The 26,630-nt window shown below is 39.4% G+C and overlaps 1 long non-coding RNA gene across 1 annotated transcript; it reads right to left on the bottom strand.

Moving 5' to 3' along the window:
• Positions 1-6,081: 6,081 nt before the first annotated feature.
• Positions 6,082-13,315, bottom strand: LOC105375763 (uncharacterized). The gene is made up of 3 exons (XR_928659.2): positions 12,822-13,315; positions 10,486-10,591; positions 6,082-6,479 (listed from the first exon to the last, which is right to left on the bottom strand). It is a non-coding gene; the product is annotated as an uncharacterized LOC105375763 (long non-coding RNA).
• Between the last annotated feature and the right edge of the window lie 13,315 nt (positions 13,316-26,630).

The following is a 26,630-nucleotide window of genomic DNA, read 5'->3' on the forward strand; positions in this document are numbered from 1 at the left end:
AGATTATAATATTAGCTCATCATAACCGTGAGAGTAGTGAAGATGCATTAATTAGCACTAGGATTGCATGACATTTATCTTTGCAATTTCTTTTTGTAAGAAGTTCATATATGTTTATTTTAAAAATTCTAAGAACACTTATGCCATGGGAATATTTATTATGTAAATATTCCCTTTAGTGTTTTATAAAATCTTAAATTTTAGACCTTTTCAAGTATTGTCAAGCAAATGAGCTATTAGAATCAAGTGGACTAAAATTATTTTAGTTACCACCTATCTTCCAAAGTCATCCAAGCAGAACAATAGCAACTCTCATGAAGACTGTGAAGTGCTTATTTTTATAAGGAAGGCAGGGATTTTGAAAAAGTAAAGAAGGTACAGCCTGAAGCTGTCTTCCTTTAATGTATTCATCAGTGTCAAAAGCTGACTCTGTTGTATCTTCTATAAGGTATGATTTTTCCCATGGATTTTTTGCTGTCTAGGAGAGCATCAGAACTGTCCCACCTCCTGCATATATTATATGTAGAGCACTCAGGCTCCAAAAATAGTTTCATTATAAAACCATTCTCTCTAGAAGGGCTGCTTACCTATGTCATGCCCACTGTACGTGAGGCTACCTGATCTGGATACGCCTCTACATAAAAATCTGGCAGAATTCTTGTATTCAAGACATTATAAGGCCAGCAAAGGATTTGTTAAGAAAGACTGAGGGCTGGGTGTGGTGGCTCATGCCTGTAATCCCAGCACTTTGGAAGGCCAAGGCGGGCGGATCATGAGGTCAGGAGATTGAGACCATCCTGGTGAACACGGTGAAATCCCATCTCTACTAAAAATACAAAAAATTAGCCAGGCATGGTGGTGGGCACCTGTAATCCCAGCTACTTGAGAGGCTGAGGCAGGAGAATGGCGGGAACCCGGGAGGAGGAGCTTGCAGTGAGCCGAGATTGCGCCACTGCCCTCCAGCCTGGGCAACAGAGTGAGACTCTGTCTCAAAAATAAAAATAAAAAAAAACCATAAATAAATAAATAAATAAAAGACAGACTGAGGTCACAGTCAAAAAATAAAGATGTTATATTAATCAATTACAGTAATCCTTAAAGATACACTTTCTCTCTGGCTGGAACTGGAGAAAGTGAGTGATTGATACAGAGTAAGCTTTAGGGTCAGATTTCTTGAATCCCTGCACTTCCAGTTACTAATTGTGTAACTTTGGGCAAATTACTTCATCTCTCACTGCCTTTCCTTTCCTCATTTGTCAAATGGAAACAATTGCAATAGCTATCTCTTTTGTTTGTTGGGATTTAGAACATGAAAAGCGTCATAGTACAATGCCCAGCAGAGAATAAATACTCCCTGTTATAAAGAGCATATGCTGTGGCTGAGACTGACCTGAAATCCTACTTGTATCTATCATTATAAGCTGGATGACAGTGAGCAATTTGTGAAACTCTCTGTCTTTCAGTTTCCTGATGGTAAATGTGCTCACCTAAAGAAATTATTGTGCACATAAATGAAAAATTATCTTGTACTTTTGTGATAATTATTATGTACTTTGTGAAAAATTATCACAAAGACTAAATTAATTGTGCATTTAAAGTGTTCTGTGGAGTGCCTGTAACAAAGGATTTGTTCAATATATTTAACTACTTGTTACTACGACTACTGTAAGTATTATTAGCTTCTGTATTATATTCTTAACAAATGCCATTCAGTGGAATTTAAAGAGGGGGATTCACTTCAGATGTGTCTTAAAAATTCATATTGGACAAATGTCAAAGGACTGAGTAGAAAGATCAATATTTGACCAAAGCCAAAGCCAGAGCCAAATATTGCCACCTCATTTTATAGGATACCAATTAAATCTGGAATTTAATTTAAAAAGTAAATATTATTCTCACCAGCATTTCATTGTTAAAATCCAGTAAGCTTTTAAAATTCTGATATTTGTATTTCTAAATGTTAATAAGCAATGATTTCTCAGCATTGTCAGATTCAAGATTTTTTCTTATGTCCCTATACTATACTTTGTAACACTAAATTATTATTTTATTTTAAAATCGGTTGTGGAGCAAGGATTTTCCTTTATTTGCTATCTCTGAAGGTATAAGCTAAATGTTATGTCCAAGAGTTTAAGCTTGCCTTCTGCTCTGATTTTAAATGATTTAAGCATATGCTTGTATTCTCTTTAAGTCATGGACTTAAATATTTAGTTGAGAGTAGTGAAAAAATTTTATTGAATAAAACTTTCAATGCAAAGCTTTGTTTACTCATTAAAGAAGACATGGACTTAGTCCAGCTTCCCTAAAAAGCAGAGCCTATGGCAAATTTCAAGCACTAACACTTTATCAGGAGGTGAAATTCAGAGCAGTAAGATTGAGGGGAAAGTGAAGTGAGCAGGAAAGAAAGTGGAAAGTGGGCGTATTTGTGAGCTCGCCACAGCTCAATGCAAAGTTGTGAACAGTCATTTGGTTGTACAGGACACCTCCGATCAGGCCCGACAGAAACATGCTGCCTTAGAATAGTCCCCTAGGGGGAGGAAAGGAGAGAAGTTCATTTGCTGGTTCTCTTTTGTCTCTTGTCCATCATTTATCAATTATTATGCCAAGGGCAGTAACTCCCCTATATTTTTATATGTGAAATATGTATTAATCCTGGTATGGAAAAATAACTACCCTTTCCAATGTGGAAGGAATTAAATAGAGTCAACTTGCCATCAGTTGGTTGTCTGGTCTGCATGAGGAATGGGCCCAAAATTAATGCTCAGCATCAGTTTCTGCTGTTGACAGTACATGGGACCTGCACTGTGGGACCCATGCCTTGCCTCCATAGTTCTGAAGCAAGAAAGTAAGCATATATTGCTGGATCCTCACTCTTGATTGGTATAGAGGGGGGAAAAAGCATTTACTTAATCAATGGTGACATACAAATTGCCAGAGGCTGTATTGTTTGTCTCTGGTAAAGACAAAGCTTCCAGCACAGCTACTACAATAAAAACTACAACCTCGTGGACACAGGAAGGGGAACATCACACACCGGGGCCTGTTGTGGGGTGGGGTGGGGGGAGGAATAGCATTAGGAGATATACCTAATGTTAAATGACGAGTTAATGAGTGCAGCACACCAACATGGCACATGTATACATATGTAACAAACCTGCACGTTGTGCACATGTAACCTAAAACTTAAAGTATAATAAAAATAAATAAAAACTACAACCTGATTCATTTTCAGTGGGCCACTGACAGCTAGCATGACAGATCAGGCTTGCAAAAGTCTAATTGAATTGGGGTATGGGGGAAACATAGCCTACGAATCTTTCAAGTCTTTGATGGAAGCATTCTCTTAGTTTGTGTTTCACCAGAAGCAGAGCCTGAAAGTGGGACTGGGAAGGAGGAAGAGCCAATATATTTTGTGTTATGGAGCTACTGTGGGATATTGGAGATCAGTGTTTCTGGGCACTGATTGAGGAATTCTGTAGAATGTGCTTCAAAATTTTCCCTCCAAAGATTGAGAGACTAGGGCATTTACCCACCAACACTCATGCTCCTTGGTTGAGGACTGCCACTGAAGAATGGGTGTGGGAGTTGCTTGAGGTATGTGTGGTGCAGTCAGTGCAGAAAGAAACTCCCCCACCGGTAAAGATAAAGGACATGGTTAGCTGAAGGACAGGCACTAATCTCTACATCAACCATCCAGGAATTAGGCATTGCTTCTGATTTCCCATTTTGATATATGGGCACTTTAAAGAACTCCATTTGGTTGTCCCTTTCATGAAGCCATTATATATCCCAGTTATTCATTTGGGGCACAGATAAGCAAGCACAGAATATGATGAGTGAAAATAAATACATACAATATGAGTGTGTAGACCGATTGTATCCATTTTAAGAAAGACAAGAGCCAAGGTAATTTACCAAATACCTTATATAAGTCCCATGGTAACAAGGGGACTAAAATGGCATTTTTGTTTCCCTGACATCAGTGTCAGTTTAGACCCTGTATTTAACTGTCTTCAAAAAGTCTGGGTGATTTACTTCTTCACTGCATGGTTATTCTGGAAAATGGCAGAGATTTCTATGGGAAAGGATTAATGATAACTAATAACACACCATTATACACACATTTGGTGGCACTACAGGATTCTTATTCAAGAGAACCTGGACTCTCCCTCAATCAGTGAGTTATGAGACTGTGAAGGGAGTCAGGTCTGAGAACTGGATGAGGTTCTGTCATTTTAAATTTTGGTGGCTGATGTCAGCCTTTTGCTCACCAGATCTAGATTTCTTCTGATTTTAGAAACCAAGTTATACCTATTAGGGTATCCTTCTATCTCCCTGAAGGAATATTAATTACTATAGACACAGATTCCTGTGGGTCAATGCACTTTACTGCTACTCTAACCATGAAGCCCATTATATCAACCTTGCTTATGATGGTCCTACAACGTGGCTTCTTCTAGTACAGAATCCCATCTTCCCTAAGAGATTAGGGGGCTTAGCTCCATGGTAGGATCATCCACTGTCAACCATGGCCTGTATACAAGAGCCACTCAAGTGGATCTCAAAGGCAATAGTGGACTCTTAACCAGCACATTAGTCATTGTTTTAATAGAAAGGTGAGTTCTGGCCTTCCAAGAAAATATAGTCAGGTGATGGGTTCTAAAATTGCATAATAAATCCATTCTGTCATTGCTATCTGATATAGTTTGGATATTTGTCTCCCCAAATCTCATCATGAAATGTGATCTCCAGCATCAGAAATGAGGCCCAGTGGGAGGCGTTTGGGTCATGGGGGCATATCCTTCATGGTTTGGTGCTGACCTCACGATAGTGAGTTCTCATGAGATCTGGTTGTTTAAAAGTGTGTAGCACCTACCTCAGCCCCCTCTTGTTCCTACTCTGGCCACATAATGTGCCTGCTCCCACTGAGCTTTCTACCATGAGTAAAAGGTTCCCGAGGCCTCCACAGAAGCCAAGCAGATGCTAACGTTAAGCTTGTATAGCCTGCAGAACCATGAGCCAATTAAACTTTTTTCCTTATAAATTTTCCAGCCTCAGGTATTCCTTTATACCAATGCAAGAACAGCCTAATATACTACCTCTCTAAGACTTGTGAATCCTTCTCCAGTAGTATAAGAAGGAAGTTCTGGAATCTTTACTTTTATTACTATCGGTGATTAATAAGTCCAGGCTTTGGAGCCATCTGCAATGCTAATAGGGATATTTTCAGATGTCCTTCCCAGAACATCAAATCCCTAACAACAGGTGAGTGGCCAATTCTCAATGAATTATTACCCATCCAGCATTATATTCCATGTTCCTGGGTATAGTACCCTCAAGATACATCTTCACATGTGCTCTCTCCTATCTTCCTGGTATCTATTAACCACATGCTGCAATTCTTTTAGGTATGGATTATTTATTTTTGGATAAGGGGCTATAATTTTCTTGTTGGTTCATGCTGAGACTTAGCTCTAGTTGTTGTCTTGAGGGCAATAAAGTGTGGTGGAACTGGGTGCTGAAAAGAACAACTATTATTTTGCAACGTGTCCCTGTGGTTGCAGGAGATAATTGTTTTTTAAAAGCTACTATAATAGCCTTCTGATTTTCATAAAAAGTATTATATCAGTAATTAACTGCATTAAACCTATCCTTTTCTGCTTGCAAAGCCTCCGATGTTGTCAAAAGAAGCTATCACACTGCAATTTTTAAATTACCATTTCCTTCATATGGATTAATGTAGCATCAACTGATCCTCCAATGATTCGATCTCATCCTGTACCTCATCACACTATCTACAGATAAAAATTTTAATAATTTTTATGCCATTGCATGCTACGGGTTATTAACACTGCACCTACTGGTAATAACAAAGGTGCCCATTGCTTCTAGACAGAGAATCTATTTTAGTACTAAATCTCAACCGGTAGGTATGCATTCTAGAACTATTCCCGTAACCAGCCATCTTATCTCAGCTTCCCTACAAAATAGCATTAGTCAAAACTTAAGTGTTGATGTTTTATTTGGAGGTCTAATTCCAACAAAACAAGAATAGGAATAAAGGAAGTGCTCATGCTCAAGCAGGGAAGAGGAGAAGAAAATCAAGATGGTGAATTTTGAAACTACATTGCCACAAAAAGACAGCTGGTTTCTCATTTAGGCCTATCTATTACACCTGCAGGAGGAGAAACAGACTACAGAGCATGTAGACTGTTTCCCATATTCTCCTAGTTGGTCAAACTTCACTCAATGAGAAAATGATTTCCCTGCACTTTCTGAGTTTTATTCACCTGGCCTATTTTTGGTAAGTGTCCAGGAAGTCACATCCCGTATTCTGTGGTGTGGCATTTCACCCTAGACTAGCAAGAGTAGGAGTATCCAGTCTCCATGTTCAGATCCTAAGGACCCTGGTTCCACAGCTACAACGGTTCCAATCATCCTATGTGTGATGTAGGTCATGTAGGAGGCTGGCGCGTATCCTGGGACAGAAGCAGATTTAAGATAAATATAATTACTTATTTCATATATGTAATTTTTATTTCTAGTGCTTTTTCACATACTTCTACATACAATCACTTAAGTTCAAGGACGGAGGAAATAAAGCTAAAATTCAGTCATACGTTCTTCTAAAGGTTAAATCTAAAGTTGAAGAGCAGAGTTTGGCTGAACAACAAGGACAAGACTAACCTTAGGCAAATCCCTGGTTTTGATTGATGTGTAATAGAATTCCTGCTGTAATAAGTGTCCTTTTAGTTTAAATAATGTATCTCTTATTTAAGTGACAGACATTTGGGACTCCTATTTGCTTTCTGCTAACCTACAGAAATTTGATCCACATGAGCTGGAAATTAACTATTACAATGTCTGAATTTTTTAGCAGGCAGGCAGAAATTGGCAGAAGAGTCTCATACTTTTGCATAGAATCCTTATTGTAAAAAAAAAAAATAAATGTAAAAGGAGAAAGACTTCATGGCACACTTATAATAATTTCATGATCTTGGTAATTAAATGTGGGCCCCCATGTCTATTTGTCTCCTATCTATGTATCTATCTATGTATCTATCTACCTACTTATCTCTGTCAATCACCTGTCATCTTTCTTTCTTTATACATATCTATCTTTGTGCATACATAACACACAGAGACATATACACACACACATATATATATATACACACATACACATACATAGAGGCTTTCTTTTGGTTAACCTTTCATTTCATTCAGCTGGTGAAAACAGAGATTTAATTAAGCATGCTTAGAGCATGTAAAACAACCGTGGTTTTGGAATACAAGCAGTTAGAAATTGTTACTAGAGTGCCGTAGGATTAGCGTCTATTATTAAGCATTTTTGTGACATATAGAGAAGAAAGAACTTGCCACCATGAAGGTACCGTGAAAAGAATAGCAGATCAAAATGACACACAATATTCATTTTTGACAAGCAGCCAGAGTTTGGAAAGCATACTGGGGCACATATTAATAACTGGATTGGAAAAGGAATCTGACTGCATTCTAAGTGCTTGTCAAAAGAAGAGTGGAAGAAAATATTATAATCTAAAAATATAAATCAACCACCATTTAGTTAACATTTACCATATATCAGGTGCTAGATTGAACACAACACATACATTCTCTCCTTTGATCTTTAACAACATCTCTAAATGCAGGTATAATTATTTTACCAAACGAAGAAACTGAATCCCTGAGTGTTAAAAAAAATCTAATGGCGATAATATTTGAATTCAGATCTACATGCTGAAAGCCTGTGCTCTTTTTTTTTTTTTTTTTTTTTTTTTTTTTTTTAGAGGCAGAGTCTCACTCTGCTTCCCAGGCTGGAGTGCAGTGGTGTGATTCCGGCTCACTGCAAGCTCCGCCTCCTGGGTTCACGCCATTATCCTGTCTCAGCCTCCTGAGTAGCTGGGACTACAGGCGCCCACCACCACGCCTGGCTAATTTTTTTGTATTTTTAGTAGACATGGGGTTTCACCGTGTTAGCTAGGATGGTCTCGATCTCCTGACCTCATGATCCGCCCGCCTTAGCCTCCCAAAGTGCTGGGATTACAGGCGTGAGCCACTGTGCCCGGCCAAGCCTGTGCTCTTAAGTTGATACACTGCACGCCTCCTTACTAGCATCGATGGGGGCTTCTCCAATGTACCAGGTATTTTTTTACATTCACGAACAGGAATCTCTTCAGCTACACCAAGCTCAGCAGTGAGAACACTGGGGCTCAGCAAAGAAAAGGAGCCGGGCGTGGTGGCTCAGGCCTGTAATCCCAGCACTTTGGGAGGCGAAGGCAGGTAGATTGCTTGAGCCCAGGAGTTTGAGATCAGCCTGGACAACATGGCCAAACCCCATCTCTACAAAATGTACAAAAATTAGCTGGGTATCAAGGCATGTGCTTATAGTCCAAGCTACTCAGGAGACTGAGGTGAGAGGATGGCTGAAGCTCTGGAGGTTGAGGGTGCAGTGAGCTGTGATTGCACCACTGCACTGGGTAAAAGAAGGAGATCTTGTCTCAAAAAAAAAAAAAAAAAGCCTTCTCTGAAGCTATATAGTTAATAATTGACAGAGGCTGTGGTTTTGCCTGCATTTCCAGACATTACATCTAGTTCAGCCTTGTGAATTCTGTCTATGGCTTCTTTCCATTCCACAGCTCATTAGATCCAGAGAAAATATTTGTGTATGGGTGATAATGATTAGATCAGGACTTGCTAATACTCTCAATAATTACTTATAATCATTTAAGGGTATTGTGCTTTTTTCCCAACCCTAAAAACTATCACTATTAACCCTAATTTATAGATAAGAACTTTTTAAAATTTTCCAAGCATTACTCAATTCAAATATAATGGTAAAAAGCCAGGCTGTTATTTTTGCCTTGGAACATCAACTCCAATGCTTAAAAAAACAAGCTAGCCATTTAAAGATCCAAAGGCAGTAGAATAGAAGGCAGGCTGTTCTTTCCTGGTGGCTACAGAGACAGAGCACAGATGAAGCGGCATCCAAATGCAATAAACTCTCAAAAGCTGTCTCATCTGGCCTTGCCAAGACCTGCAAAGGTGCTTTCCCACAAACAGAAGCCTGGTGGGTGAGGACAGTGTCAGGGTCTTTGGAATAATTTCTTTGCCATTTTTCCAAGGCCTGGGCTGGAGGTAGGAACTGTAAATGACTCCTACTAACGGTCCTAGAGACTCTGGCTGGCTACGATGCTACCTGCTCCCCGGGAGAATGTGGCTGGTGACACTCTGGCACATGCATGATGTGTGCTGCAAAAGTGAGTTAACCAAATGTCACTTTCCCTCAAGGTATCTATTGTAGCTAATTTAAAAACCTAAACATGTCCCATAACATAGAATGGATAGTTAAAGGTTGAATGATATGAATTGCGAATGTGGACAATTTTTAACCTACAAAATGGTAGTCATATGATTGAATCTAATAAATAATGGCACATGCATTCAATATACCAGTGTATAGCCATCAAAAATGAAGTCACAAAGATTTTATAAGCAACATGAAAAAGTGCTTTTACTGTCATGTTAAGTTAAACAGTGGGCTAAAATATTACAAATAAAATTTTGGTCCTGAAAGTGTAGGGAAGGATGCAAAGGAAAAACCCTGAAAAGGAAGGCATCCTTGCAGCTCTCTTTCTTCCCTCCCTTCTCTGCCCATAGCCACAAAAACAAAAACACAGGTAAACAAAGAAACAAACAAAAACTGGAACTAAGCCTTGGCCAGCCTGGCTTTCAGTTTCAGTTGCGCCATCTATTCGCTGAATTATCTGGAGAAAGATCCTTTCAGACCTTTCCATTCTTGTGCTCCAAGTTTCATCTGTCAACGAAGGAGGGGAATTCTAGATGACACTTTAGGGCCCCAGGACAATACAATTTAACTGAAAAAGTCAACATGATTTGAACACCAGACTATTTTAGCAAACTGCAATTTTGTTAGACACGGCAAAACAAGAGCAGAGCTTGTTAAACTTCACAAAATCCATGGAAAACAGAGACTGAAGCACTCTTATTCCCAACTCAGTTTTCTAATTTATTCAGGTTTATTTCGGCCTACTTTGTTACTCAATTTAAAAAAAAATGTTATTTAAGTAAGTCATTTGAAATTGCTTAGTTTAATTGCATTCTGGATTCTCAGTGAGGCAAAAAGCCAGTGGATTTTCTTGATGTCAAGACGTACAGATAAGATTTTGGGGGCATGGAAACTGTTTCTTATTAACTATTTTTCCTTTTTTATTTTGAGCTTTTGGTGTTATGAACAGAATTTTAGATAATTGGATATAGTCCAGAGTTTAATATTTCTATCAAAAAAGGTTATACAAAATACATCACATACTTTAAAATAAACATGTTACAATTTTAAATATAACAATTTTATTTAAATTGCAGAACATAACAGAAATAGAAAAGCTTTTTAGGTATGACCATTTCAAATGTTCAACTTAAATATGTTTTAATATACAAGTTTACCTTGACATTTTCAGATACTGTTAGAATTTTTATACATTCCTTTTGAATCTGTTCTTTATAGGATGAAGTATAAATTAACCAATTTATGCCTTCCTCTCCATCTTGCCTATGAGAAGATATAAAATCAAAGTACATCAATCCGGAAATACAATGTTGACATTTACCAGCATCAAAATTGGTTCTCTCACATTTTAAAGAAAATTTCAAATGAGTCTATGGAGCTTTAAAACATTTATTATTTTAACCAATATTGAAGTGACATTTTGCACATAATGAACACTAAGGTAGGTGCTGGATATTCAATATTGAACTCACTGTCTAGTGAGCAAAACACATTTTAATAAAATAATTGCAAAACTGACCATCACAAAGTATGTGTGTGATGTTGCAGGAATCTCATCTGATTCAGAAGAGGACCGGGGCTACCTGAAGGTCTTCCCTGAAGATGTGCTAAGGAACTTAGGATTTGGAAATGGAAATGAATTTAAGGTTGACTTAATCTAACATTCTGATTTGACTCTGGAGGCAGAATAACATAGGGAGGTCCACCGTCAAAGCAGCTGGTTTTTATACCCAGTATCTATTGCTTAATCACCATGCATCAATGGTGATCAAACAGTGGTGATCACAGGCTTGTTCTAATTATCTATTGCTGTCTATCTTGGTTTGCCTAAGACTGTTCCAGTTTTACCACTCAAAGTCCTGCATCCCACAAAAGCCTTCAACTCTAAGCAAAAGGAAAGATTGGCCATCCACTAACAAATCACTCCAAAACGTAGTGGCTAAAAATACCGATATATTATTATCTGTCATATTCTGTGGATTGTCTGGAATACGATGGATGGCTCTTGCTTCTAGTCTTTTGTTTTGCTGTGACAAGTGGTAGCTTCAGCTTATCTGTAAAATAATGCCAAGTACCTATGTCATAGGTTGTTGCGAAGCTTCATGAGTTAAAAGGTGTAAAGAATTTAGCACACTGGCTAATACACAAAAATTATAAAACAAGTTGATCTGTTGATAAAAGTAGAATGAAGGAAAAGGGAGAGGGAAATGATAGCTGTAGTGAGGGGAGAGTAAATCCGTGTTTCAGTGTTACTCTGGCAGCCAACATTTAATAGATGCTTTACATGCACAGTCTCAGCTAATCTCTCATCTACATACACAGAACAGGCATTACCATTATCTCCATTTCAAACATGAGGAAACTGCCATTTTAAAAGTACAATACCTCCCAAGGTCTCATAGTAGTGGAGCTAAAATTTAAACACGGACTTGTGTGTACAAAACCTATGCTCCTTCCACCTCTGTGTCTGCTCTGCAGGAAACTGCAAAGCAAGCTCTTAAAATTTTTTTCCTAAAAATGTCACGTCACCAAGAAGAATTAGCAAGGATAGGGATTATTCTGCTGTATTAAACATTCAAAATATGGACCAAAATATGTGAAAAACAGTTTTCAAGATGTCTAGTAGAAGAAAAGAGACCCATGAAAGGAGGAGGAGATGAAGTTAGCACTATCATGTCCTCAGTTTTCTACCTTGAGAGAATTTCCAGCTCACAAAAAGACAGGGAGAACCCAGAGCCATGAGAACTGGCTGGGTTGAGGAGGCAGAGCCGAAAGTCAGGAAAGATAGCTTGAACCTTCAGGAGAGAGTACCACGGAGGAAAACGGCTGAACAGGAAGAAAACTCTAAATGTTTGCAAAGGATTCACCCCAAGCATTCAGGTAGTTACCAGTCAGTGTACACATACGAGAAAATGACTGGAGGTCAAGGAGAGAACTACCTGAAAGGATTAATGGTAACAGTGCCTATTGCCTACACAAGGACTGAAATAGTGCATAGAACCACCAACCAGGTTGGAAAATCTTATGATTCATGGGCATTGGATAGAGTATACAGAAGGCTCTTGACTCATTAGTGGGGACTAATAAGCACTAGACAAACTGCTGCTCCAGTCTTGTCTGAACACGTCCGAAATGCAAGAAACTGTTTTCTTGCAGGAAAATAATTAAACTGTTTTCAATGACTGTAATGCATTTCAGAACAAAGCTCAAGAATATTGACAGAAATACAAAAATATGCAATGTCCAACCAGATAAAATTCAGAATGTCTAAGTTTTAATGCAATATTACAACCATGCGAAAGGCAGGAAAACATCACCCATACCCATAATGAAAAGAAAACTTCCATCTAAATTAACCAGAACTGGCACAGATGTGATAATTAGCACACAGGGATATCAAAACAGTTTTTACAACTATATTCCACGTATTTGGAGATAAGAATATTCCCTAGAGATAAGGAAAACAAAACCGTGTTCTCCCTAAACCCCTTACCTTCAGCTGAAGAACCACACTCACTCTACTGATTCATTCTGGTCTCTCAGTAACTGGTCTTTCAGATTTCCTCAACCAGTTTTGAGCTCTGCACTACAGCATTGAATCCGATTCCAGCCAGGGGCTGTATAGTCTCTTAGAGCTTGGCTGAGACTATATGCAATGCAATAATAAAAGCCAGGAACTCTGCAAATTATGGTGCCAATTATAGAGGACTGAACAGAATTTAAAAATCTAAGTATGTGCCAAAGTTAAGGATAAAAAACTGTCCACATGAAAGTGACAGTTCAAATGTAAGAGGAACTATCTCAAGAGATTCCGTGGAGTGACCAGCACCCAGCTGCAGTGACTGTATGGAAGCTTTTTAGGGCACACGCTGCTGTATGCCCAGAAGCTTCAGAAAATTGACTAGAAGTTGATGACTGAAGGCCCTAGGATTTTAGTCTTGTGAGAGCCAATTGCTTCTTCTTCCATCTTCTTCTGCCTTTCATTGGCCACTTTTATCAGGCCCCTTGCCATCACTGGACTCTCACCAGACTCTCACTGCTATTCTAAATTCTGAATTCCACCAAGGCCATTGTATCAGAAACTCCACTTCTTGGCCAGGTGCAGTGGCTCACACCTGTAATCCCAGCACTTTGGGAGGCCAAGATGGGTGGATGCCAAGTCCAGGAGTTTCAGATCAGCCTAGACAACATGCAAAATCCCACCTCTACAAAAATTACAAAAATTAGCTGACATAGTGGCATGTGTTTGTAGTCCCAGTTACTTGGGAGGCTGAGGTGGGAGAGTCACCTGAGCATGGGAGGTGGAGGCTGCAGTGAGCCATGATCGTGCCACTGCACACTGCACTCCAGCCTGGGTGGCAGAGTGAGATTCTGCCTCAAACAGAAACGAAAACAAAAACAAAAAACAAAAAACAAAAACAAAAACAAAAACCACACTCTTATCTCCTTTGTGATATGATGCCTCCTAGATTAGATTTGTGATTTCTTATTTGCTTTAGAACTTGTTTTGCCTTCCTGTCTGATATAGTTAAGTTTTGTGTCCCTACCCAAATCTCATCTTGAATTGTAACCCCCAGGTGTTGAGGGAGAGAGCTGGTGGGAGGTGATTGGATCATGGGGGTGGTTTCCCCCATGCTGTCCTTAGGATAGTGAGTGAGTTCTCATGAGATCTGATGATTTTGTAAGTGCTCGGCAAGCTTCTCCTTTGCTCACTGTTCTCTCTCCTGCCACCATGTGAAGAAGATTCATGCTTCCCCTTTGCCTTCTGCCATGCTTGTAAATTTCCTGATGCCTCCCCAGCCATTCAGAACTGTGAGTCAATTAAACCTCTTTTTAAAATAAATTACCCAGTCTCGGGAAGTTATTGATAGTAGTGTGAAAACAAGCAGGCTAATACAGTAAATTGGTACCAGAAGTAGGTACCAATTTACTGTATTAAAGATACAGTACTTTAATGTACTGCTATAAAGATACTAAAAAATGTTGAAGTAACTTTGGAACTGGGTAACAGGCACAGGTTGGAACAGTTTGGAGGGCTCAGAAGAAGACAGGAAGATGTGGGGAATTTTGGAAGTTCTTATGAACTTGTTGAGTGGTTTTGACCAAAATGTCAATAGTGATATAGTCAATGAAGTCCAAGCTGAGGTGGTCTCAGATGGAGATGAGGAACTAATTGGGATCTGAAGTAAAGGTGACTCTTGCTGTGCTTTAACAAGAGACAGGCAGCATTTTGCCCCTACTTTAGAGATCTGTGGAACTTTGAACTTGAGAGAGATGATCTGAAATTGGAACTTATTTTTAAAAGAGAGGCAAATCATAAAAGTTTGGAGAATTTGCAGCCCGATGATGCAGTAGAAAAGAAAAACCAATTTTCTGAGAGAAATTCAAGCCAGCTGCAGAAATTTGCATAAGTAATGAGGTGCCAAATGTTAATTTCCAAGACAATGGGGAAAATGTCTCCAGGACATGTCAGAAACCTTCAGAGCAGTCCCTTTCATCACAGGCCAGAAGGCTTAAGAGGTAAAAAAGGCTGTGGGCCAGGTCCAAGGTCTTGATATGTGCAGCCTCTGGACTTGGTGCCCTGCATCCCAGTCACTCTAGTCATGGCTAAAAGGGGCCAAGGTACAGCTCAAGCTGTTGCTTCAGAGGGTGCAAGCCCCAAGCCTTTATAGCTTCCACATAGTGTTGGTCCGGTGGATGCACAGAAGACAAGAATTGAGGTTTGGGATCCTCCACCTAGATTTCAGAGGATGTATGGAAACGCCTGGATGTCCAGGAAGAGGTGTGTTGCAGGGCAGAGCCCTCATGGAGAACTTCTGCTAGGGCAGTGCAAACAGGAAATGTGGGGTTGGAGCCCCCACCCAGAGACCCCACTGGGGCACTGCCTAGTAGAGCTGTGAGAAGAGGGCCAACATCCTCCAGACCCCAGAATGGTAGATCCACTGACAGCTTGTACAATATTTCTGGAAAAGCTGCAGACACTCAATGCCAGCTGTGAAAGCAGCCAGGGCAGGACTGTACCCTGCAAAGCCACAGGGGCAGAACTGCCCAATGCCATGGGAGCCCACCTCTTGAATCAGCCTGGCCTGGATGTGAGACATGGAGTCAAAGGAGATTATTGTGGAGTTTTAATATTTAATGACTGCCCTGCAGGATTTTGGACTTTCATGGGGCCTGTAGGCTCTTGGTTTTGGCCAATTTCTCCCATTTGGAAATGGGAGCATTTATCCTGTACCCCAATTGTGTCTTGGAAGTAAATAACTTGCTTTTGATTTTACAGGCTCCTAGGTGGAAGGGACTTGCCTTGTCTCAGATGAGACTTTGGACTGTGGACTTTTGCGTTAATGCTGAAATGAGTTAAGACTTTGGGGGACTGTTGGGAAGGCGTGATTGTTTTGAAAGGTGAAGACATGAGATTTGGGAATGGGTAGGCACAAAATTATATGGTTTTGCTGTGTCCCCATCCAAATCTCACCTTGAATTGTAATAATCTCCACATGTTAAGACCAGGACCAGGTGGAGATAATTGAATCATGGGACTAGTTTCCCCAATATTGTTTCTGCAGTAGTGAATAAGTCTCACAAGGTCTGATGGTTTTTTGAATGGGAGTTCCCCTGCACAAGCTCTCTCTTGCCTGCCACCATTAAAGACACCCCTTGCTCTTCTGCCATGATTGTGAGGCCTCCCGAGCCATGTGGAACAGTGAGTCAGTTAGACCTCTTTTCTTTATAAATTACCCAGTCTTAGGTATATCTTTATTAGCAGCATGAGAACAGACTAATATATTAAATTGGTACCAGTAGAGTGGGGTGCTGCTGTAAAGATACCCAAAAATGTGGAAGCGACTTTGGAACTGGGTAACAGACAGAGGTTGGAACAGTTTGGAGGGCTCATAAGAGAACAGGAAGATGTGAAAAAGTTTGGAACTTCCTAGAGACTTGTTGAATGGCTTCGACCAAAATACTGATAGTGATATGGACAGTAAAGTCAGGTTTAGGTGGTCTCAGATAAAGATGAGGAAAATGTCTCCAGGGTATGCCAGAGACCTTCACGGCAGCCCTTCCCATCACAGGTCCAGAGGCCTAGAAGGGAAAATGGTTTCAAGGGCTGGGCCCAGGGCCCCCAAGCTGAGTGCATCCTAGGGACTTGATGCCCTGTATCCCAGCCACTCCATTCATGGCTAAAAGGGAAAAAGGTATAGCTCGGGCCACGGCTTCAGAGGTGGAAGCCCCAAGCCTTGGCAGCTTCTACATAGAGTTGAGCCTCTGAGTCCACAGAAGTCAGGAATTGAGGTTTGGGAACGTCCGCCTAGATTTCAGAGGATGTATGTAAAGAACTGGATGTCCAGGCAGAGGTGTGCTGCAGGGGTGGAGACCTCATGGAGAACCTCTGCCAGGGCAATGCAGAAGGGAAATGTGGGATAGAAGCCTCCACAAAGAGTCTTCACTAGGGCACTGCCTACTGGAACTGTGAGAAGAGTGCAACAGTCCTCCAGAACCCAGAATGGTAGATCCACACACAGTTTGCACTGTGCACCTAGAAAAGCCACAGACACTTAATGCCAACCTCTGAAAGCAGTGGGAGGGGGTCTGTACTCTGCAAAACAACAGAGGTGGAGCTGCCCAAGAAAGTGGAAACCCACTTCTTACATCAGGGTGACCTGGTTGTGAGACATGGAGTCAAAGATTATTTTGGAGTTTTAAGATTTGACTGCCCTGCTGGATTTGAGACTTACATGGAACCTGTAGCCCCTTCATTTTAGCCAATTTCTCTCATTTGGAATGGGAACATTTCTCCAATGCCAGTATCCCCCATTGTATCTAGGATGTAACTAACTTGCTTTTGATTTTACAGGCTCCTAGGCAGAAGGGACTTGCTTTGTCTCAGACAAGACTTTGGACTGTGGACTTTTGTGTTAATGCTGAAATGAGTAAAGACTGTGGGGGACTGTTAGGAAGGCATGATTGATTTTGAAATGTGAGGACATGAGATTTGGGAGGGGCCCGGGGCAGAATGGTATGGTTTGACTTTGTCCCCACCGAAATCTCACCTTGAATCGTAATCCCCAGCTATTGAGAGAGAGACCTGGTGGGAGACAACAATTGGATCAGGGGGCAGTTTTCCCCATGCTGTTCTTGGATAGTGAGTGAGTTCTCATGAAATTTGATGGTTTTATGTGCTTGGTAAGTTCCTCCTTCACTCACTCTTCTTTCTCCTGCTGCCATGTGAAAAAGGTCCTGGCTTCCCCTTTGCCTTCTGCCATGATTGTAAGTTTCCTGAGGCCTCCCCACGTATGCAGAACTGTGAGTCAATGAAACCTCTTTTTTATACGTATATTGCCCAGTCTCAGGCAGTTCTTTGTAGCCACGTGAAAATGAACTAATACACCAGCTTACAAAGGTTAGGAAAACCTATCCCTGTAATCCTTTATTAATTTTTTAATCTATTCCTGTATGAAAAGGTTAAAATGTGGCATTTTTTTTGAGACAGAGTCTTGCTCTGTCACCAGGCTGGAGTGCAGTGGCACAATCTCCACTCACTGCAACCTCTGCTCCCCAGGTTCAAGTGATTCCCCTGCCTCAGCCTCCTGAGTAGCTGGGACTACAGGTGCGTGCCACCATGCTGATAATTTTTTGTATTTTAGTAGAGACAGGGTTTCACCATGTTGGCCAGGATGGTCTCGATCTCCTGACCTTGTGATCCACCTGTGTCAGCCTCCCAAAGTTCTAGTATTACTGAGACACTGTGTCCAGCCGGCATCTTTTATTTGATTGCCTTTCCTGGTTTACCTTGCAACAAGGCAAGAGAAGGCATACTCAGAGATTTGGTGTTCACATCCCTTCCACTCTCAAGCTCTCATAACATGATGTCTCTGAAGCAGTCTGACTGAGCAAAAATTGGATGGATGAGTTTGGAGATGTGAGATCTTGTTAATTCTTTTTCATTAACTCAACTAATCATTTTGAGAAAATATTTAATTTATCTGCTTATCTTCAAACAGCCTGGTGGAACTCAATCAGATTTTCTTAATGTTCCTTGGTTGATGAATACATTTTCAAAAATAAAATTTAAGAAATAAAATGTAAGATGATAAAAGCAAAGCCCTAAGTTAATAACAGATACTGGTGGAGTGAGAGGTCTGCTAAAGTTCCAGACACTGAGACCCACCCTCTCCTGCTTGTGTTCTCTGAGGCACTTCCACAGAATGACAAGTTCTCCATAAAGAGTCATTGGGAAGCTCCTAGACAAAACAATGTCTCACGTCTATGCTAGGTCTAAAGTCACTTGAATTTTTGTTTCTCTTAAATTATGTACTAGAGCCCAATTCATTAAAAATAAAATAAAAATTATCAGTATTATTTATTTTCATTTCAGCCACCAACACAGCACAATGAAACACATTGCTGGCTGGGTTTCAGCCATGGCTATGCCATTCAAAAATTGCTGGGACTTTGGTTAAGTCACTTATGCTTTGTGTTTTCATCTGTAAAATGAGTATCTCAGGTTAGAATACCTCTAAGATCGCTTACAGATTCCTCATTCCAGAATCCAACCTTTTCTAAGCAATCCTTCCCCATCTATTAGCAGTTCATTTAGAAATCCTTTTATGAAAGGACAATTTTTCAGTATAGATTACATTGTAATGATTAGGTGGGAAGTGTGTGCCCTAATAGCCGGAATGAAGTTAAGTGTATTTTTGTAAATATGCAAACTCCTCATTTGTCTTTATGAGGTCCCATTTGTCTTTTGGCATTTTGATGAGTAAACCAATGCCAAACCAATTTAGAGCAAGTAAAATATGTTATCATGAGATATTTGTTTTGTCAATTGTACTCACAAAGTCCCTCTCTCTCTCTCTCTCTCTCTTCCTCTCTTTCTTTTAGTCTGTTCTTTCTGAATAATTACCAGACAGCTGCAAGTCAGGGATAACAGAGATTCCACATCCAATAACATGGTAAGTAGACATGCGTGAACCAAGTTGGAGAGGAAAACGAATAAATGGGAACAAATACAGGAAAAGGGGAAGAAAGACAATAGCACAAAGAAATAAAATTCCCCTTCTTACTCCCCTTTATCAAACTTTCAAGCCAAAAATATACACAGTGACAGCTCCAGATGGAGAAATAACAGTCTGTTTGCCATCTGCAGAGACAAAACAGTACAGTGAATCTTCAATTTAAAACCGAAAGTCATTAGGAATAGAGTTAAATAACGTATGTCAGAATTAAGGGATTTAGTACAAAACCCTTTGCTAAGACCCTGGGGTGCCTCTGTGTGGGTATGTGTGGTTCAGAGAGTGAAAATTAAATCCTTTGACAACTAGAAAATAAATGTGGGCCTCACTAAGGGGTAGTAAATAGGAGACTTTAAGTGAAAATCATACATTACTGAGGAGTGGGTGGAGGAGAATTAACGAACTTGCCCTGAAGCATTTGGTGATTTTATGAGACTAAATATAGATATCTTCCACTGAAGCCTAACTGTCTTCACTCAGAGGACGTATGTGTTGCATAATTAAAGAAGATCAGAGCTAATTCAGAAAGCCAGCTGAGAAAAATGCTGCTGAGCAATTGTTATTTTTGAGATTCTATAATCAAGGTCATCCTCAAGGGTATGGAATGAGAAACAAATGACTCTGGGTGGTACTCCATTGCTATCATTCCAATTCCATGTGCGGTGTGCCTAGGAAATCACATGGACATTGCAGCCAGAAAGACCTGGATTTATATCTCTTTACTACTATTCATGGGCTGGGTTGCTTTGGGCAAGTTTCTTAATCTATCTGGTCTCAGCTCTCTTCATCTATAAGATGTTGATCGCAAAAACACAGAGAGGGCTTAATGTGCTAGGTACTACTGTAAGTGTTTCACATATAATAGTCATTTAATTTTTACAAGAACCCTAGGAAGATAGCACTCTTATTAGCCTTATTTTACAAATGAGAAAATTGAGTCACAGAGAGATTAAATTTCTTTTTTAAGATTGCACAGCTAATAAGTGGTAGAGATGTGATCCTTGAAAGTAAAACTCCAGAGAACTTACGTAACCATAACACAAGGTTGTTACAATCTTCAAGAGAATGTTGGAAAGCACTCAAAACAATGGCTCATATTAGAAACCCAACAAATATTAACATGTTCATTTTCTTCCCGATCAATAATTTATTTACTAAGCATTTTAAAAGATGTTAATATATATCTGAAACCATGCCAGATCATAAAGCTAACATTTTTCACTCTCTATTATCTCATTTAATTCTTATAATTATACGCATCTATGACATAAATGCCGATATTATCAGGGATGCTGGTCTTTGCAATTCCCTTTGCATGAAATGCTTTTGTGATAGATAGCCACATGGCTCATCTCTATGCCGTTTAATTTTCTGGGACAACTTTCCTAAACACCATATTTAAAATATTAGACTTCATCATCTTATCTCCCCTTACCTTGCTTTATTTTGCTTTAGAACATAAAAGAATCTGGATATATATGCTGTCTTTCTTTCTCAAAATAATGAAAGCTTCATTAAGGCAGGAATTTTGTCTGTTTTGCTAACCTCTGTTCTGTATCACCAGTACCATTAGATACCTATTTAGTGAATAAATGAATGAATGAATGATATCCATTTTGCAGTTGAAGAAATTGAGACACAAAAAGTTTCTTGACTTCCCAAAGCTGCACAGATAGAAAGTGGTAGACCTAGAACTAGAATCTAAACTTAGGCAGACCCACTGGAGCTAGTATTAGCCACTATGCAACCTTGAGGGATGCAGAGATACATAAGATGCAGCTCCTGCTCTCAAGGTGCCTACAGTGCAATGGTGAAGTCTCATACACAAGAATCCTCTTTCATTATGCATGGATCCTTTCATCTAAGATGCATTGAGCATCTTGAAGTTAAAAGTTACAGTAGTTCCCCATTTTCTCAGGAGAATATGTTCCAAGACCTTCACTGGATGCTGCATATATGAAACCGCATATAGTATCAAACCTGATTGCCATCAGTCAGAACATATTCCTATTCATTTCTTGCATCCACAAATTTAATGCCTTTCCATCTCAACTAAGCACTTATGCACTGTGGCCATAACTTTTGCAGTTTGAGGTGTGACAGCAAAACTAGCATAAATTTATTTTTTCTTCTTCACAACTTCAGGAATAGAAGATTCACTCTTACCTTAGATCTTAACAACCTCAGCATACATTTTTTTTTTCTTAAGTGGAGAGCTTTTACCCTTTCACTTAAAGTAAGCACTTTATGGCTGCTCTTTGGCTATTGAGACTGTCAGCATCACTGCTCTTATGCTTTGGGACTATTATTAAGTAAAATAAGTATTTCTTGAACACAAGCACTGCAATACTGTGACAGTTGATCTGATAACTGAGATAGCCTCTAAGTGACTCATGGGCAGGCAGAGTATACAGCTTGGTTATGCTGGACAAAGGAACAATTCATGTCTCTGAGCAGGATGGAGAGGGACAGTGTGAGATTTTCTCCATGTTACTCAAAATAGCATGCAATTTAAAACTCATGAATTGTTTATTTCTGGAATTTTCCATTTAATATTTTCTGACTATCTATCTGTTTGGTAACCAATTTCTCATGGTATTCCTCAAGTTTCCCAACCTTTCTCACATCACGGAACATGCAGAAAATGACAATATTTTAATGGTACACTGGGTAAGTAGGTGAAGCCATTAATAGTTGCCTCCCAAAAGCCTCCAGCTGGCAGATCCCACAAACCAAACCTTTGCCTCTGCCCTAGTGCTGAAGAGAAACATATTGTGGCCACTTGTAAACCATTCATGGCACATATATGAGCCACAAGATACCATTTAGGAAGTATAGCAACGTAGGACTTAAAAAATAGGTAGTTTTTTATTTATAGGGAATATTGTGTTTCCTCCCCATGTGACTTTAGTTTTTTTGGTTGTTTTTATCAGTACAAGGATTACTGCATAACACTTCTGAGGGGAAGGAAATAGTGAATTTGAAACAGCAGCCTAGTATACTTTTTAGAAGGCTAGAATCACAGAGAAGTTTGATTTCCCCCAAAATGCATGACAGTATGTCCTGGAGACTTTGAGTTAAACCTCCTATTCTTGGCATGAAGTCCTAAGAGTCTCTAGAAGCAAATGAAGGAAAGAAAGAGAGAAAGCAAAGAAGAGAGAGAGGGAGAGAAAAGAGAGGAGAGAGACAGAGAAAGAGAGAGAGAGAAAGCAGGAAATTAGCAAACTGTGCTGTGACTATTGCTGATTGTTCTTAATTAAGTCTCACTAAGCTCTGAATGACCCTTCTAAAAAGGAAATTTAGACACATTTCAACAACGGCTAAAAACATATAATGTTGAAAACATTTTTGTTTCTCTAAAAAGGATATTTATCTAGTGTATTAATGTGCAAAAAAGGGGCTATCTTGTTGATCATGCTCCAGTGGGGTCATGAACATATTGTTGAATACAACCATAGCTCATCATCTCTGCCTTAAGGGGATAATAATGAATTCACATACCTGCCTTTTCTAGAGTCAGGACTTTTTGGTGAATTTCAACGTGTCTGTGTCTGCCTCTGAGTCCCAGTGAGCTCTCTCAGCTTGAGGTCTACAACTAAATGGAGATATTAAAGAAGGAAAAAGGATAAATCCCATCTTTGGTAGAAGGCTTCAAGCAGTACAGATAAGCCTTAAAGGTTGCTTAGCATCCTTTTAGATAAGGAATATAATAGATGTCCCAGATAAAAGAAAAGCATGGTTATGAAAGAAACCCAGGCCTAAGTTTTGGAAACATCTAAAACACTTGCAATAAATTTATTTTTCAGAATTTCAACATCTTCAGAAAAATAATGAGATTGGACTAACCCACTGATTTCCAAAGGGCGCATCACTGATAGACCTCAGAGGCTGCCTTGTCATAGATTATGGAGGATGTGTGGAGACAGGACAGAGGATCTACAGTGTATTAGTCTGTTCTTACCCTGCTAATAAAGACTTACCCAAGACTGGGTAATTTATAAAGAAAAAGAGGTTTAATGGACTCACAGTTCCATATGGCTGGGGAGGCCTTACAATCATGGTGGAAGGCAAAGGAGGAGCAAAGGCACATCTTACATGGTGGCAAGCAAGGGAGTGTGTGCAGGGGAACTGCCCTTTATAAAACCACCAGATCTCATGAAACTTATTCGCTATCACGAGAACAGCATGTGAAAACCTCCCCTATTATTCAGTTAGCTCCCACTGGTCCCTCCCACAACATATGGGGATTATGGGAGCTACAATTCAAGATGAGATTTGGGCGGGGACACAGCCAAACCATATCATATAGGTAGTTTTTCCCCACTCTAGCAGAGAAGCTCCACTTTCCTCTGTATTGTATTGAGATCTTCTCAGTAAGATTTTATTTGAATAAAAGGGCAAGCTGCTTTAGAAATCTTTGCAAAATTTCTCACTCAACAATAGCTAAGGGCCATGTTGTTTTTCAAAAGCAGTGGCATCTCATTTTAGACTTCTCCCCTAGAAGTTTGAGCTGAGTTTAACTTGTCAAGGTCCTAAATATCATACCTGAAAATGTTGAAACTCTTTAAGGTTTCCACACAAAATCCAAATTACTCTGAAATTTATCCTCTCATTGTTTCATGGTGCTTCTACCAGCTGTTGGCTTTGATGAGCATAATAGGTCCAATCTGTAGCTTAAGAAATTATATTTTTGAGGACATTCAAGCCCCTTGCTGAAATCCTTAACAGAGTACATTCTCACACATTATTGATAAAAATCTAAAAATACGTTTACCCTATGTCCAGTAATTGCTCTTGGGATACCCAATCCTATAGTTTGAATGGGTTCACTAAAGTTCATGTGCTGGTAACTTAATTCCTAATGCATTGGCAGAAGTTGACAAATAAGACATAATTAGATAATGAAGGTTCTGCCTTCATCAATGGATTAATGCTGTATTCTTGGGACTGGGTTAGTTATTGCAAGGATGGACTTGTTATAAAAGTGTATTTAGCCTCCTCTTCTTTCTCTCACTCTCACCCTCCTTTGCTTTTCTGTCTTCTACCATAGGATGACTCAGCACAAAAATCCCTTGTCTGATGCAGGCACCATGCCCTTGGACTTCCATGTCCCCAGAACTATGAACTATACAAACTTCTTTTCTTTATAAGTTACTCAGTCTTTAGTATTCTGTTATAGCAACACAAAGTGAACTAAGATACCTATTCTGGTCATAAAAGCACAAAACGAACATAAGAATACTACTCATAACATTGTTTGTACTGGGAAAAATTAGAAATGACTTAAATGTCTAACAAAAAGGAATAGATTAAAAACTAATAAATACATATGATAGACTAGAAGTTCAAATAAGTAAATTGTGTCTACTTGTAACAGTATGAAAAGTTCCCCAAACAGTACTTTAAAATTTTAAAAAGTGAATGGTAGAATGTTACATACATTACAAAGCAGGTAATGCAAAATGTAAATTGAAAAATTATATTTCATATTTTTATAAGTATGTATATAGAATACAGAAAAGACTGGAAGGATTCACCCAAATTTAAAATAATATTGTTCTTGAAGGAGGATGTGTGGTTTTGAGATGGAAAAATGTTTAGGAAAAGGCTGTGTTTAGAGACAGAGGTCAAGTGGGACTTTAAAATTTAACCAGAATGCTGTAGATGTTTTTGAAAAAGGTAAATACTATCTGTACATATATTACTTATATAATTTTAAAACAATAATATGCCTAAAAAAATGACTGGAACCAGTAGTGCCAAATTGTGAGTGGTAGTTTATTTTGACAGGTAGAAATATGTGTTATTGTTGTTCTACATCCTTTCCTATATTTAAATTCCATGACTGCATCCAAGCCCCTATGCTTAAAAACAAAGTTTTCATTAAGGCAGGGCTTATAGTATCTGGTGCTTAATTTTAATCAATTAAGTTTCTCCTGATCAATTTCAGCAATGCACTCTGCAGTCACTCAGCCACTAGCAGCATCCGTATTACAGGCAAGCCACACCTAATGTGACAAGACTGTGAAACAGACCTGTGTGAACAAACGTTTAGACTGAGTGGGCCTTAGAAAGTCAATGGACACACACAGTTCATCTTATGTAAAGAGGGAACAAAAAAGAAGGTAACAAAGTAACAAAAAATTAAGTTTTCTCCCCTGTGGTTGTACTGGATAGCAAATCAGGAGACAGAAGAGAGAGCTGAACTTGAATGCAAGAGGGAATATTTTGACTGAAATTGAGTGCAACAGAAAATTATAGGTCATGTCAAAGATTTTGTGCATCAGGGAAGGCATGATATGCTTCAAGGTTGTAAACCAAAGCAACACAGGTCACATCTCTTAGGAGCACTTGGAAGAAGGTATATAACAATGATGTGCAAACTGAGGTCACCCAGAAGTTCTTACTCTCTAGCACACCTCAAGCAGCCTGCACAGGTAGTACTTAATAGGGTGTCATAGAGCATTTTCTGCTTATTAAATTTCTTAAAATAACTTTGTGGCAAAAGAGCTTATCCTCAATTTCAGGAACTTGCTGGAGGTCTAAGATGAGAGACTATGCCACCTGACAATTTCCTTCAAAGACAATGGACCAGGGGGCTTTGAAAATTTGAACCTAGTTTGACAGGATGAACCGATGTGTTCTGATGTAAAACCAGCCCCTCTTCCGGAGAGAAAAGATGTGGCTTCTAGGACAGAAATTATCACATTATGTTATAATTGTTAGTTTCCCTGATGAGCTTGCATACTGAGCTATAAACTGCTTGAAGGCCAAGACATGACATTATTGATCAGTGTTTCCACAGTACCTGGTATAGACCTTGGAGCACAGAATATCTGTAATATGATTTTCACTGATGAATGAGTTTCAGCATCTTTTATTGGGGTTGCATGCTTACATCATCCAAAATTCATTCTCCCTCAAATATGTATGACTTTCACAAGCCTTGCTTCCTCTTACCAGTGTATCTGCAAAATGAGGATAATGTGTCAATTATTTCTTGACACAAGCCATTGTGCTAACATACCCTAGGCTCATCCTCCAGATATGAGTTGTGGCTGGGCAACACTGGATGGCAGAGTGGTAATAAGTTAACTGTCTATGGCCCCAAAGAAGAATCAGAAATTCAGCTCATTCTTCAGGTTTGATTTTCCAGCTGTTTTCTCATAAGATATTCTCAAAAAGAGGTCTAAAAGGAGCATCCTTACTGCCCTGGACCTAGAGCCGTTGAATGAGTGGACTAAATGTTTTGGCTTATGAAAGGCATAAAGAAAAACTCACCAAAT

The sequence above is a fragment of the Homo sapiens genome, chromosome 8 (assembly GCF_000001405.40).
Source record: "Homo sapiens chromosome 8, GRCh38.p14 Primary Assembly".
In the NCBI taxonomy this organism is placed as follows: Eukaryota; Metazoa; Chordata; class Mammalia; order Primates; family Hominidae; genus Homo; species Homo sapiens.